The sequence below is a fragment of the Homo sapiens genome, chromosome X (genome assembly GCF_000001405.40).
Source record: "Homo sapiens chromosome X, GRCh38.p14 Primary Assembly".
NCBI classification, from domain to species: domain Eukaryota; kingdom Metazoa; phylum Chordata; class Mammalia; order Primates; family Hominidae; genus Homo; species Homo sapiens.
In genome coordinates, this window is record NC_000023.11 from 105,874,486 (window position 1) to 105,888,706 (window position 14,221).

Consider the following 14,221-nt stretch of genomic DNA (forward strand, 5'->3'; position numbering starts at 1 on the left):
TGCTTCATTACTTTTGAGATACAACTAAATTTGGGGAATTTGGTGTCGCATGAATGCAAGTCCTTTTGTAAAGTAGAAATGTTTTATGACTGTTCCTTTATTTGCTTTGTTATGTTTAACAAGATTTTCCTGCATTGGTTTTTGTTAAAAGCAGGCACATATACCTCTTAACAATGCCCTGTATGTGAGCAGTATCTTAAATTCAGGGACATGCAACATATTCTTTTCGTAGGACAGATTTGAAATGCTAATATTAATTTTAGAGTCATGAAGAACAACAGCACCGTAATAAACTAGGTTTTTCCCAGGGGAAGTGGACTAAATGATGCTGCTTATTTGATTATCTAAGTTAATTAATTAAGAACACAAATCCTTGCCAAACTGAAATCAACACATTAAGGGATATGTATTCTCCCTGGATAGTTTGAAATGATACTGCAAAAAGAATATACGTTCATCTTAATTACTATATTTTGGAATGCAACCCCAGAAAACAGATTTAGTTGTGTCAGCATAAATTAATCAGGGAAGTTTTTTAGGACTTTATTTAAGTCCTTCACATGGTAGCATATATTTTTTCTCTAGAACTGTTTAAACATACTGTATTTGAGATCCAATAATTTATGTTAATAACTAGCCTTTGCATTTGGTTCTATTCTCTAATTGTTTCTGGTGTATACATCTTACAAACTATAAATTTCTCCAATAAACTGTGAATAGAACAGTTTATCTTTCCAACTCTCCATCCTCTTCCCCTTTTTAAAACTTCATTCACTTTTTGAAATTCCCTGCTCACTCATGGTCTCATGGTTTCCCTGCTCTCCATTCCAGAAACCTGCTTCTTTCAATATGGCTGAAGAACAACCCCTTCTGGAACTCCTCAGGCTCCAGCCTTTTCTTTACTCCACCTTCTCATTCCATCAGTACTTAACTGTTCATTGCCACTGTTTTAGTTACCTCATCTGATAGTCTAACTCATGCTTAAATGTTAGTGACAAATTAATGTGTCCTTCTCTTAGCTAATATTGAGTTTCATTATCTTAATAACATGGAGGACAGGACTTAATAAATAATTTTTATACCTTGTTGTAGGTTGTGGAGTACCCGGAAGTATTTTGAATAGTTGACCTATTGCCCCCCAAATCAATAACTGAATTATTATTTATTATTATTATTATTATTAACTAAACTTGAATGCGTGGAATGAGTTTGACAACAAGACAAAGAGTTTTCTTAAGTGAAGATGATAGACTTCTTGATTCTAAATGCCAATAGACTTGAATCTAGAGTCAAGAATGACTACAAAGCATTGTTACTACCTATTGTCTTCTGTTCCTCAAATACGAAAGAGCCTATGAACTTATACAAAGTATTTAAGCAGCAGTTGCTTTTACGATAAGAATGAGAGCTAAGAGAATTTTTTTCTCCTAGCTCTGTGATGCTTGAAAATTATTTAAAAAGAAAGAAATGCTGTCATTTGTGACAACATGGAAGAACCTGGAAGACATTATGTTAAGTAAGATAAGACAGACATAGAAAGACAAATAATGGATGATCTCACATATCTGGATTCTAAAAAGTTGAACTCATAGAAGCAGAGAGTATAATAGTGGTTACCAGAGGTTGGTGGCAGTGGGGGACAGGGGATTGGGGAGATATTGGTCAAAAGACACAAAATTTCAGTTAGACAGAAGAATAAGTTCAAGAGATCTGTTGCACATCATGGTGATTATAGTTAATAACAATATATTGTTATAAATATATTTACTAAAAGAGTAAATTTTAAGTGTTTTCACCACAGAAAAATAATAAGCATGCAGTGTAATGCATATGTTAATTAGCTCAATTTAGCCATTCCACAATGTATTCATATATCAAACCACCTTGTTATAAACCATAAATATATACAATTTTTATTTATCAATTAAAAATGTAAAGGTCATTCTTTGTACTCAAACTCTAGTTAATGAAGCATTATTAATCTTGTGGAGCTAGTGGCTCCTGTATGATACTCCAGATATTACTGATAGGAAAAACAGCCCAAAAAATCCACATTTATAATTTACTACTGTTCTTGTGATTTTCCTGAATAATATTCACTGAGGTTAAAGGCAATTGTGAGATTATTTAACACTCAATGTAGAATCTAAAACTAAATTTCTTTCTTAACGTTCTAAAACTAAATTCCTTTCTTAGTGTTCTTTTGTGTGTTTAACACAAATGTTGTTAACGTAATTTGCCATAAAACTCACATTCTAACTGAAAAAGGGCACATCCTAAAAACTGGATTCATAGGTTCTAGTTCAGCATCTCATTTATGACAAGTCCTTCAGCTAAGATCGCAAAACAGCTTCTGTATAATCAATGAACCACAAGATGGCACCACTGAACAATTAGCTTATCTCAAGGTGGCTTCTAGGTTCTCTAGATAGGTGCCCAAGAATAGTGTTATACTTCTTCAAAACGAACATCAGTCACTTAATCAGTCACTTCTGGTGAATAGAGTATGAAAGGGAAAAATAACAACTTTATAGTGGAGAAACCTGGCAGGTTGTTACCTTAACCAAGTGCTCAAGGTTAATATCACCATTGATCAACATGGAGATATCATGTACCCCTGATATGATGTGATGAAAAGGGCATTTCACTTCTGTGATATCCTTCCCAAAAATTCACATAACCTCAATCTAATCATAAGAAAACATCAGCCAAACCCAAGTTGAGGGATATTCTACAAAATACTTGACCAGTACTCTTTAAAAGTGTCACAGTTATGAAAAACAGGAAAGACTGAGGACTTGTCACACACTGGAGAAGTTTAAGAAGACATGATAGCTAAATAGAATGTAGGATCCAGGTTTGGTTCTAGAAAAAGGACATTAGTGAGAAAACTGGGAAGTCAGAATAAGTTTTAAAATTTAGTTAAGAGTATTATACCAATATTAATTTCTTCATTTTGACAATTGTAGCATGGCCATCTAAGATGTTAACATTGGAAGAAACTGGGGAAAGGATATACAGGAACCCCCTGTGCTATCTTTGAAACTGCTCTATAAGTCTAAAATTATTTCAAAATAAAATTTTTGAGGAGTCAAGGTACAGGGGGAACTCTTCTGAAATGCTCTCTTAACAGTAGCACATTTCTATGATCTATTGTCTGTATATGCCAGACTTCTATGGAGTCTTGTAGAATGATTTGGCATATTAACTCAGTACATGGTTCCGAGACCTGGAGTTTTATTCCTCTGTAGGTTCAGTGAGCATATTTTTCAAACCCAATATTAGGACACATTTTCTGACGAAATAACTTCATTCAATTTTCAAGTGTGAATAAATCACAGATAATGAGGGTAGAACCAAGCTGATTTTTTTTCTGTTTTATGGCCATGGTTGGAATCTTTTAATGACATTCAGTTGTCTCACTAATATGTCATAATCTATTGATTTTAGACTTCAAAAATTTTGTATTTTACTTATCATCAGTTAAATAATGTATGGCTAATATTTTTGATAACCTGATAAATATTTTGTATTGCCCAAAATAATAGTGGCTCATAAATAATCTCTTAGAATCAAGGAAGGAAGCATTGTAACTTTTTAAAGGGATGCATGCAAATCAGTTTCCAACATGTTGTATTTGTGCATACAGATGTGGAAAAAATTTTACTAGCAAGTGTTCGTGTGAATAATTATGAAAACAATGCTTCCTAAGTTATAAGGACTGAATAAATAAAAATATTAATATATAATTCCTCCCAGAGATGTAAATAAATTTGAAGGGTATCCAACATACTCAATAATTTTTATAAACTCGGTTAAGTTCAGGTGTCATTACAATCCTACGAAAAAGAACAGTTTAAAACTGTTTTATTATAACTGTCCAGCAAAAGTAATCTGACTCCATCCAAACAGGCTGCCCCAATTAAGACAAGTGACAGAAGATAACACAAGCTCATGTTCTTTTGAAAAATTTAAAAGAAGCTAAGGAGGTTGCAAAAATAGTGCTTTTTGTCTGATAAAAGAGAAAATTGTTTCTAGAACTTGATAGTATTACTTCATGGATTGATCCTTACAAACTCTGCCTCATTTCCACTTCTCATGTAAATCTGATTTTGCCTTTGCATTTGTTTCCCAAGACTTTAGGTTAAACAGACAGGTCTTGATCTTGGGTTCCTACTTTTCTCTGGATCAATCAATAACCTGTAACTTTTTCCTTTCCTTTAAAAATTCTAGTCTTCTGTGGCTGGCATGCTCCGCCCTAAACTGCTCACCCAATTCTGGACATTTCCTTGTGCCTTGATTACTAGTCTCTGAACCCTATCCCAAGTCAAGCACATTACCTTGCTCAGTTTCCGTCTTTCCTGCCTTGTGTACTAGTTTCTTAGGTCAGCTGTAAAAAATTGCTACAAACTGGATGGCTTAAAACAAACAAAATGTATTCCCTCACAATTTTGGACATAAGAATTCTGAGTTGAGGTGTCTGTTGGGCCATTCTCTCTCTGAAGTCTCTAGGGAGGAAACTGTTCCTTGTCTCTTCCTGGCTTCTGGTGTTATCAACAATCCTTGACATTTCTTGGCTTGTAGTTGTATCACTGCAATTTCTTCTTGTCTTTTACATGACTGTCACCCCTTTCTGTATCCCTGTGTCTCTGCGTTCAAATCTCCCTTCCTTTCGTCTTATAAAGAAACCGGACATTGACCAAACAAATCCATATGACCTCATCATAGTTTGATTACATCTGCAAAGACCCTGTTTCCAAATAAGGTCACATTTTGAGGTTCCAGGTGAACCTCAATTTTCGAGGGGACACTGTTCAACCAAGTACAGCCCCCAGATCAAACCTTCTGCTGAGAAATATCAGATAAGGCATTCTATTTATTACTCATAGTAATGTTATACTGATTTTTTCTATGACTACAGTTTGGAATATGTCTAGAAGGTACCAGCCACAAAATAGGAGATCTGATTCCAAACCTATGTGTTCACCTTTAAAAATTACAAATCTGTAGCTTATACTTGCATTTAGGGTAAGATCTAAGCTCTTATAACTCATCATATTTTCAATAAGAGAGAATTTTCTAGAACTTATTCCTTTTATAAATATTTTTGGTTCATATGATTCAGGACATATTAAACAGTTTAGAGGCTGTTGAATTAATTATGAATCACTCACACTAAGTGATCATTATGGAGATAATGCATGGCTAATATTTTTGCTAACATGATAAATATTTTGTGTTTGAAGAAGAGTCCAGTGGAAAGATGTCTGCATAGTATCACATAATCAATTGAAAAAATGTTTAGTACAACAACTCGTTTTCTGCCATCTTCAATAGAAAATTTTCACTTAGATTAAATGAAAATTTTCATTTAGATTAAATGCTTTGGTGCCATGCAAACCTAGATTAAAGACACTAAGTAAGCAATAACTTTAAATAGGCAATTATGTCCACTAGTTACTACAGATGTAAACAGCCAAACTGTTCCATAACCTTCGTCGAGTGTTTTGAGTGGGATGGTGATTTCTTTAAAATGTTGATAATTTAATATTTCTGTTTTCTATATAATACTATATATTTCATTTGTATATATTTTATATTTTATAACATACAATGTATTCGACACTAATTTTAATATTTTCTACTTTAATTGCTTCTTGATAGCTGGATTACCTAGCCAGCATTTGATATTTATCACTATCCTGTATTTCAGGGACTTCATGAGAAGACTGGTGCATTTACAGCTGTTAAAGTGATGAACGCTCGTAAGGTAATATTATAAATTGCCTGTATTCTCTTCCCTTAGTGGACTGTGTTCCTGGGATACACAACTCAGAAAATATTGTATTTGTTTTTAAATCATTATTTTATATAATAATTATTACATCAATCTGGATTTATTATAGTTATCATTTAATATTACTTTTATTCATTAGTGTATTATATCTATTACTTTATTATATATCCACATAAAACAATGCTTCTTTCACAGCAGAAGTTCCACATATTTTGGTATTCTATAACACTGAGGAATATATCTGTACTCCTCTCTGTTTCTAGTTGACTATTTGTTTCCAGGGATAGCAAAGAAGAGATTGCTTCTAATATTGGGTTAATCCTGCTGTGTTCCATCATATTATTTTCCCTCTCCAATGATTTCCTCTGATAATTGAGGCCATTAGATTCTCAATGACAGGTAGAAGGAAGAGACTTATCAGAAATGCACATTTTTCATGTATTTTCTGACAGATGAGCAAAAGAGACAGTTTAATTGGCACCGTTCCTGGTAACATTCATAAAGTTGTGTCACGGTTCATAACATATTGGCATAGAATTTGCTAGCACTGATTTCTGTTCTTTTTCTTTAACGTGAGTGCCACACTTTCTCAAGATAATATTATCATAAACATAGAAAAGGTCAAAAAAATTTTACTTCACTATACCCTAAAGGGAAATTTGTGTTTGAAAAGCTATACACATTGACTGAACTGTTGTCAAGGCCATAAACTGTGCTTTTTCCAATTTGTGCAGGAAGTGAATTGCTGAAACTGTTTAAAGAGTTGTGTGCTTCCATAGCACATGTGTACCTATGTAACAAATCTGCACATTCTGCACATGTATCCCAGAACTTAAAGTATAATAATAAAAAAAGAAATGATAGCTGAATTAAAAAAAAAAGTTGTGTGCTTTTAGTTTTGCCAGTAAATGTCAAAAGTTGCAAACCAATGTGAGTTTCGAGGGATTTTGATGTTTTGTAGATTTATTTTGCCCTACAATCCATGGCTTCCAAATAATCAAACTTCTACTTTTTGAGTGATACTCTCTAAAATACTTATTTTCTTGTTTTAACTTAAGAGACCTTGACATACTTTTAACCTACATTTCAGATACTCTGACTTTTAAAATATTTAAAAATCATGTTCAACCCATGGAAGTTTAGTGTCAATTAACTGGTTTTGTAAGGAGGATAAAGCACTTTACTAATAACAAATTGTAATTTTCCCATTATTACAGCAGTTAAATCTACTACCATGAATTTGTTGCCAAATTTCTGTATGTCATAAGAATTTGGTTTTTTAAATTAAAACTATTGGAGAAAATTGAGAGAGGAATAATGTTATCTTACTTTTCCATTGAGTGCTAACGTAGCTTAAAGTACTTAAGCATAAATCATTTTTAGAGTGTACCAGTACATCTAATAACATTTTATTCTTGGTTACAGACCCCTTTACCTGAAATAGGAAGGCGAGTGAGAGTGAATAAATATCAAAAATCTGTTGGGTGGAGATACAGTGTGAGTACTAAAAGTTCTCATTAATACCCAAGTAGTCTTTCCTTTCATTTTCAGCTTTTAACTTATCCCTTTGCATTGTGTCATTATCTCTAGAAGACTGCTACTAAAAGTGTTCTTGCCTGAAAGTGATAACATATTTATATCTTTTAATATATTCACTTAGATTCAATCATCATATATGAGCACTAGCATATATCAGAGAGTAGGAGATAGGAGAAAAGGGCCCTTGAATAGGAATGCATTGACTGTCAGTGAGGAATTGCGTAAATTTACAGAGCATAGAACCCTCTGGCTGAATAGCAACAAAAAAGGAGGTGATGCGATCTACAGCAAATTTTGCCTAAAATTGGCCTTGGAAAGGTCCTTTTCACACGTTTATCATGACATTCTGGACTAATTGCTTTTCCTCCATTGTGATTCTAACAAACATTACCATCGTGTTTGAACCAAATGAGGAATGCCCCACGTGCCCACCCCCCCGCTTTTTGTAAGAGCAATAGCAGGCAGAAAACAAACCAACCACTTAGCCTCAAGGTCTTCAGACATCTGGTACCATACTTGAACACATGAAAGGATATGAACATGTTTTCTATGTGCAGCTTTTTGGCTTACCTTCAGAGCAGTTTTTCTGATACCAACAATTCTCTGGCTCCAGAATAAAACCAACCAAAGATAATCTCTCTTTTTCAGTAGATATTGGTGATCTATAAAATATTGTATGGGCCCAAAAGTTGAATTTTTGCTCTTATCAATATAATGAATTGATATATTTTTTCCTACTTTTCTCTCCTGCAGTCAGCTATACATGAGACTCAAATATTTCTAGCATTTTGTGACTTAGTAAATATGTCTCAGGCACATTAAAAATAACCCTTTTACTAACACAATCACATTCAGAAACTTTCTAGTTATATTAGAAAGATATTACTAAACAACCTCATGACTCATCTATTAAGTACTAGGCTCCTGTTATGTCTATAATTCATGTTAGGAGACTAAGCATATCCAGAGGACCAGCTAAAACAGATAGTATCATGCTTTTGTAGCTTAGGAAACCGCAAAAGATAAGGTATGGAAAATATGATTATTTTATTAATTTTGGTTTCATCAAACATTTGTGCTAATAAAACTTTTTTAAAGACCTGTCCCAAACCCTCTCTGGCACACTTTCCTTAGAGAAAAGGATTTTGATTCTAGAATTGGATGAAATTACAAAGGAAGTTCTGGCATCCTTGAGCTGCCTCCTCTTGACAAAACGCAGGGTATTCAGGCCAGTCTGTGATCAACTGGCCCTAAGCCAGGAAATGCTGTAGCATCATATTACTGGAAGATGTGTGAGAGTTTTAAATTACCCACTTGGTCTGATGGATATAATGTACTTATGTGTTTCTCACAAGCTCAGCTTCCTGTTAATTCAGAGTGGCAAACACACTAACGCTTCCCAAACATATCTGATCTTCATTTATTTGTTTTGGGGGAGTTTACATTTATGTGGGCAACCCACTCTTAAAAGGTTTTTCTAGTTGGGGACTTTGAATTATCTGATTATGTATTTTAGTAAGAAAAAATAACTGCTAGCTAATCATCCAGTTAGTATCTCTAAATTATCTTGAATCCTTTAGGATAAAAAGTATGTGACTTGCACACACATCTCTTAGATGCCAGGGGTTTATGGAAATAGCAATAATATGTAAGTCCAGAAACATGAGTTCAAATCCCAAGTCTACCACTAAATAGCCAAAAAGTGCTTGGGAAAGTGGTTTACCTTTCTATGTCTCAGGTTCCTCATAGAAAAAGAGACATCACAAATGCAACTACATAGCTGCCCAGAGCCCAGCGCATCTCTTGTTCTTTCCAGGACACATAAGCTTTCTAACTCAAAAAGAAAAGGAATCACCTTAACATCAAGCTACCAAACTAGTGAAATAATTCAGTCTTGCCCCTGCTTCTCTTTCACTTGTTCTTTGTATTCTTAACCTCCTACCATCCTCTCATTCCTATTTATTGCACTACTTATGAGTTCATATTCCTCTCAGCAGAACCTTGGCAACTTAATTGAAACTGAGAGTGCGTACGCACAAATATTCTATAATAGCTAGTCCCTGTGGTTTGCTAGTCTTATGCGGTGCCAGGTATTGTTACTATTTCAAAGGAGGGCCACATCACAGGGGAAGCAGAAAGTTTAAGGATCTTACATGACAAGAATTAAAGCCACAGGATTTTTACCTTTCTAGAAAACAGATTAAGATAATTTGAAGGGAACTTATTAACTGAACTTTGCTGGGAGGTTGGGATGAGACTCTAGCCTGAGCTTTCATGCAATTCTCATACCACAAGTTGTCATGACTTTATTACACAAATAAATAGAAAGAGGGAACCTATCACTGAGATTTTCAACTGCACATATCAGGACCTATCCTTTTCCCCCATAAGACAAATAGGTGTCTAGAGATTTATTTTCCAGTAGTTGAATGTTTATAGGTAAATCCAGTGGAAAATCCTTGGGAAATACTAAAGAATGTTCTGCAACTGCCAGCCATTTTCTCTGACATTGCAAACTTTTTTTTTTTTTACGAGATATAAATACCGGGCATTTTAGGGGAGGAAAGATAATTTATAACTAAAAGTTAAGTCAACTTAGAGACACTACAGAGCCTAGTGCACTGCTTTATATTTATGTCATAAGTATTTTTAAAGCCTAGCCACATTATACCTAAATATAGAAAGTAGTTGCCTATTTTTCCTGCTGGTTCTTAGAGAATTAGCTAAGAGAGAAGGTAATAACTGAGTTATGTTTAGTTACCAATTCATTTCAGCTAAGAGACTTATTTCCCTATATTTCAGTCATTAAGTCAGGATAGTTTGAGGAAAATGCTGGGGAGAACTAAAGAAAATTGGTGGTTAATCCCTTAATTATTTTCCATGTCAATTGTCCCTTTCCTAGGTCATTGCTCAAAAGAGTTAAGGAAATCTTTTTTTTCACTGGATTTCAGAACCGGAAGTCTTTAATTCAAAAGTTTTTTGTTTGTTTGTTTGTTTGTTTTTGAGACAAGGTCTCACTCTGTTGCCCAGGCTAGTGTGCAGTGGCACAATCTTGGCCTCCTGGGTTCAAGTGGTTCTCCTGCCTCAGCCTCCCCAGTAGTTGGGATTATAGGCATCTACCATCATGCTTGGCTAATTTTTGTACTTTTAGTAGAGATGGGGTTCCACCATTTTGGCCAGGCTGGTCTCAAACTCCTGACCTCAAGTGATCCACCTGCCTTAGCCTCCCAGAGTGCTGGAATTACAGGTGTGAGCCACCACGCCAGGCCAAAAGTCTTCTTTTCTTTACACTCTACAAATATATTTCACTTTCAACAATAAGAATATTTCTTAATAATTTTTATAAATTGAACTATTATAGATGAAATAGGAGAGCTTTTTAATTTACAATCAAATAAAATTTAGAGCTACTATGAATTCAAAGGAGGTCAGTGAGGAATCCATTTTTCAAGTACAGAATCACTTCCTGAGTCATCTCACATCACCTTCAACTTTATTATGTATTCAACTATTTTGTATTCACCGTTGGTTGTGTCATTCACATATGTGAATCTTATTTCCTGATGTGTAATTTCCTTTAAGTTAGGATCATAATACCTAAATGCACAAACCAATTATATTTTCATTGAAAATTTTAACAATTTAAGTTGTCTTTTTGTAAGTTAACATTTTAAGATATTTTTCTCAAGTGTATTGCATCTGTATACACAAAAGTGTAATTGTTTTCAAATTATTAAGAAGCAAAGAGTTTTTTCTAGATTGGCTGAGAAATAAGAGTTACAGAAGGAATATCAAAACCACTTGGCTATCATGGTACAAGCAGACATCACTGAAACTTTGAGAGAATTGCTTTCCATGTCACTCCACTATAATTAATATGCTGGGAATGAAGGAGGCTGATGTTTGTAGATTACGGTAAACAGTGGAGGGAAGTGTATAGTTCTGATAGCGCTCGGAGTAATTCAAAGAAGTCAAATAACAATGATATTTTGTGATAATACATTGCATTTATAGAATTTTTTTCAAAGATTTCAAAGAACTTTATATATGTTATCCCATTTGGTCCCACTAACATTCCATGAAGATAGGTAATGGCTGCTATCTTCCATCATTCTTTTAAAATAAATTGAACTTTAGGAAGATTAAGTGAATTTCCTACTCTGGGCTATCAGTGCTAAACCTCGGTGTCCTAATGCCTATGGTAGGTGTTTTTTTCTGACTGACATCACACTGTCTTCTGCTAGAGCTGTCTTGAAGCTATATATTGTACCTCGGTGATCTCATCTAACCAGATGGCTCCAATTATCACTATATAGATAATTCTCAGAAACAATACTTCTAGACCTGACTTGTCCCCTGAGTGCCAGACCCATATATCCTTTCTGTGCAATCTTGTGCAGCCATAAGAAGGAAGTGCATTTGTTTATTGATATGGAAAGATGTGCTTTATATACTGATTAAAACATGAAAATTGCAGAATATTAAAAATAATAAGAGCTTATTTGGATTTTTTAAATGACACACACACACATATATAAATGCATAATGATATGATCAACACACACACATACACATACAGACACACATGTATATATACATAATTATATATTATATATACAGATAATTATATATATAATTATATTATATATAATATATTGATAATTATATTATATATATTACATATTGATAATTATATATATATACGTGTGTGTGTATGTGTGTGTGTGTGTTGATCATATCATTATGCATTTATCTCTGTCATAGCTCTAGCTACTGCATTATCATATACAAATGTCTGAAAGAATATACACTAAACAGTTAATATTGCTTGGGGAAAATGTTCAGTGAGAGTAGACCCCTTACATATTTTATTAGTATATTTCTCTATATTTGGTATGCATGTGCCATTGTTGTGATTAATAAAAATAAATTATCGAAAAAAATAAAAATAAATAAATAAAATGTGAAAAAATAATAAAAATTTTTAAAAGATCAGCACAGAACAAACCAATACCTTTAAAATGTAAAGGATTACCAAATAATCAAGATAGTATGGTACTGTCCATCCACATGCAAAATAATGAGGTTGGACTTTTACTTTATATAAAAGTTAACTCAAAATGGATCAGACACCTAAGTATAAGAGCTAAAACTATAAAATGCTTAGAAGAAAACAAGGATAAAGCTTTGTGACCTATGATTTGACAGTGGATGCTTATATATGGCACCAAAAGTACAAGCAACAAAACAACAAATTTATAAATTGTGCTTCATTAAAATAAAAACTTTTGTGCTTCAAAGGTCACTATCAAGACAGTGAGAAAACAATCCACAGTATGAGAGAAATTATTTGCAAGTTGTCTATCTGATAAGGCACTTGTATCTAGAATATATGAAGAGCTCTTACAATTCAGTAATAAAATGACAACCCAGTTTTTAAAAGGACAAAGAATTTTGTATTAGACATTTCTTGAAGAACATATCGGCAATAGGCACAGGAAAAGATGCTCAACATCATTAGTCATCAGGGAATTGCAAATTAAAACCACAATGAGACACCACTTCACACCCACTAGAATGGTTATAATAATAAAACAGAAAATAGCAAGTGTTGGTGATAGTGTAGAGAAAGTGGAACCCCTGCATACATTGCTCTTGGTAATGCAAAATGGTAAAGCCAATGTGGGAGACAGTCTGTCATTTCATCAAAACATTAAACATAGAGTTACTTGACATGACTGTTCATAGAAGCATTATTCATAATAGCTAAATGGTAGAAATAGCCCAAACATCCCTCAATTGATGAATGGTAAACCAAAAGCAATGAAACATTGTTACATGCTACATATGGATGAACTTTGAAAAGAACTAGTCACAAAAGACCATGTTATATGATTTCATTTATATAAAATGTCCAGAACTGATAAATCTACTGAGACATAAAGTGGATTAGTGATTGCTTAGAGTTGGGGTGTGTGTGTGGCAGAATTGGGGGATGATAACTAAAGGATATGGGGTTTCCTTTTGGAGTGATAAAAATGTTCTAAAATTGATTGTGGTGATGATTGCACAACTGTATAAATATACTAAAAACCATTGCATTTTGCACTTTAAATGGGTGAATTTTATAGTATGTGAATTATATCTCAATAAAACTGTTACAAAAGAAACAACAATATAATGACTCCACTCAGTGAAAATTTTATACAGTGGCCAGTGCCGCTGGTCCAGGGACCATACCTTAAGAACCACTGAACTAAACGATCTTCAGTTTACCCTTTTTATTCCCCCAGACTCCAGGTTAACCAGAGGTCTTCATTCACTGACCATTTTAGTTGAGATTTTATTATAAATTGCTGTTGGATATAATTAGTTGCCATAGGATTCTCCTTCATTGATATACTGTACTTTAGGGACTTATAGTCATTGATTGCACAGTTTAGGAGCTTTGCTGTCTATTCTTATTCCATAGGATGAGGAAGAGGATCTCAGGACTGAACTCAACCTTCTGAGGAAGTACTCTTTCCACAAAAACATTGTGTCCTTCTATGGAGCATTTTTCAAGCTGAGTCCCCCTGGTCAGCGGCACCAACTTTGGGTATGTTTTTAATTACACTGTTCTTATTCTATAAGAATAAGTTTTACCCAAGGATGTATGTTTTCATGAGTTATCACTTTTGTGCATCTACAGGAAAACTTAGCACACAACTGTTAAGGTAGTATGGTGTATTAATCTGGTCTCACAATGCTATTAGGTTGGCGCAAAATAATCGTGGTTTTTGCCATTAGACATACCCGAGACTAGGTAATTTATAAAGGAAAGAGTTTTCATTGACTCACAGTTCCACATGGCTGAGGAGACCTCACAATCACGGCAGAAGGCAA

At 33.9% G+C, this 14,221-nt stretch overlaps 1 protein-coding gene across 5 annotated transcripts in view; it reads left to right on the forward strand.

The window, feature by feature from the left end:
* NRK (Nik related kinase) overlaps positions 1-14,221 on the forward strand; it is a 136,825-nt gene that overhangs the window by 52,700 nt on the left and 69,904 nt on the right. For all 5 annotated transcript variants that reach the window (XM_011530887.4, NM_198465.4, XM_006724632.4 and 2 more), the window contains exons 3-5: positions 5,714-5,770; positions 7,223-7,294; positions 13,809-13,934. In XM_011530887.4, coding sequence (XP_011529189.1) covers positions 5,756-5,770; positions 7,223-7,294; positions 13,809-13,934 — 213 coding nt within the window. In that variant the 5' untranslated portion in view covers positions 5,714-5,755. The remainder of the gene's footprint in view (positions 1-5,713; positions 5,771-7,222; positions 7,295-13,808; positions 13,935-14,221) is intronic.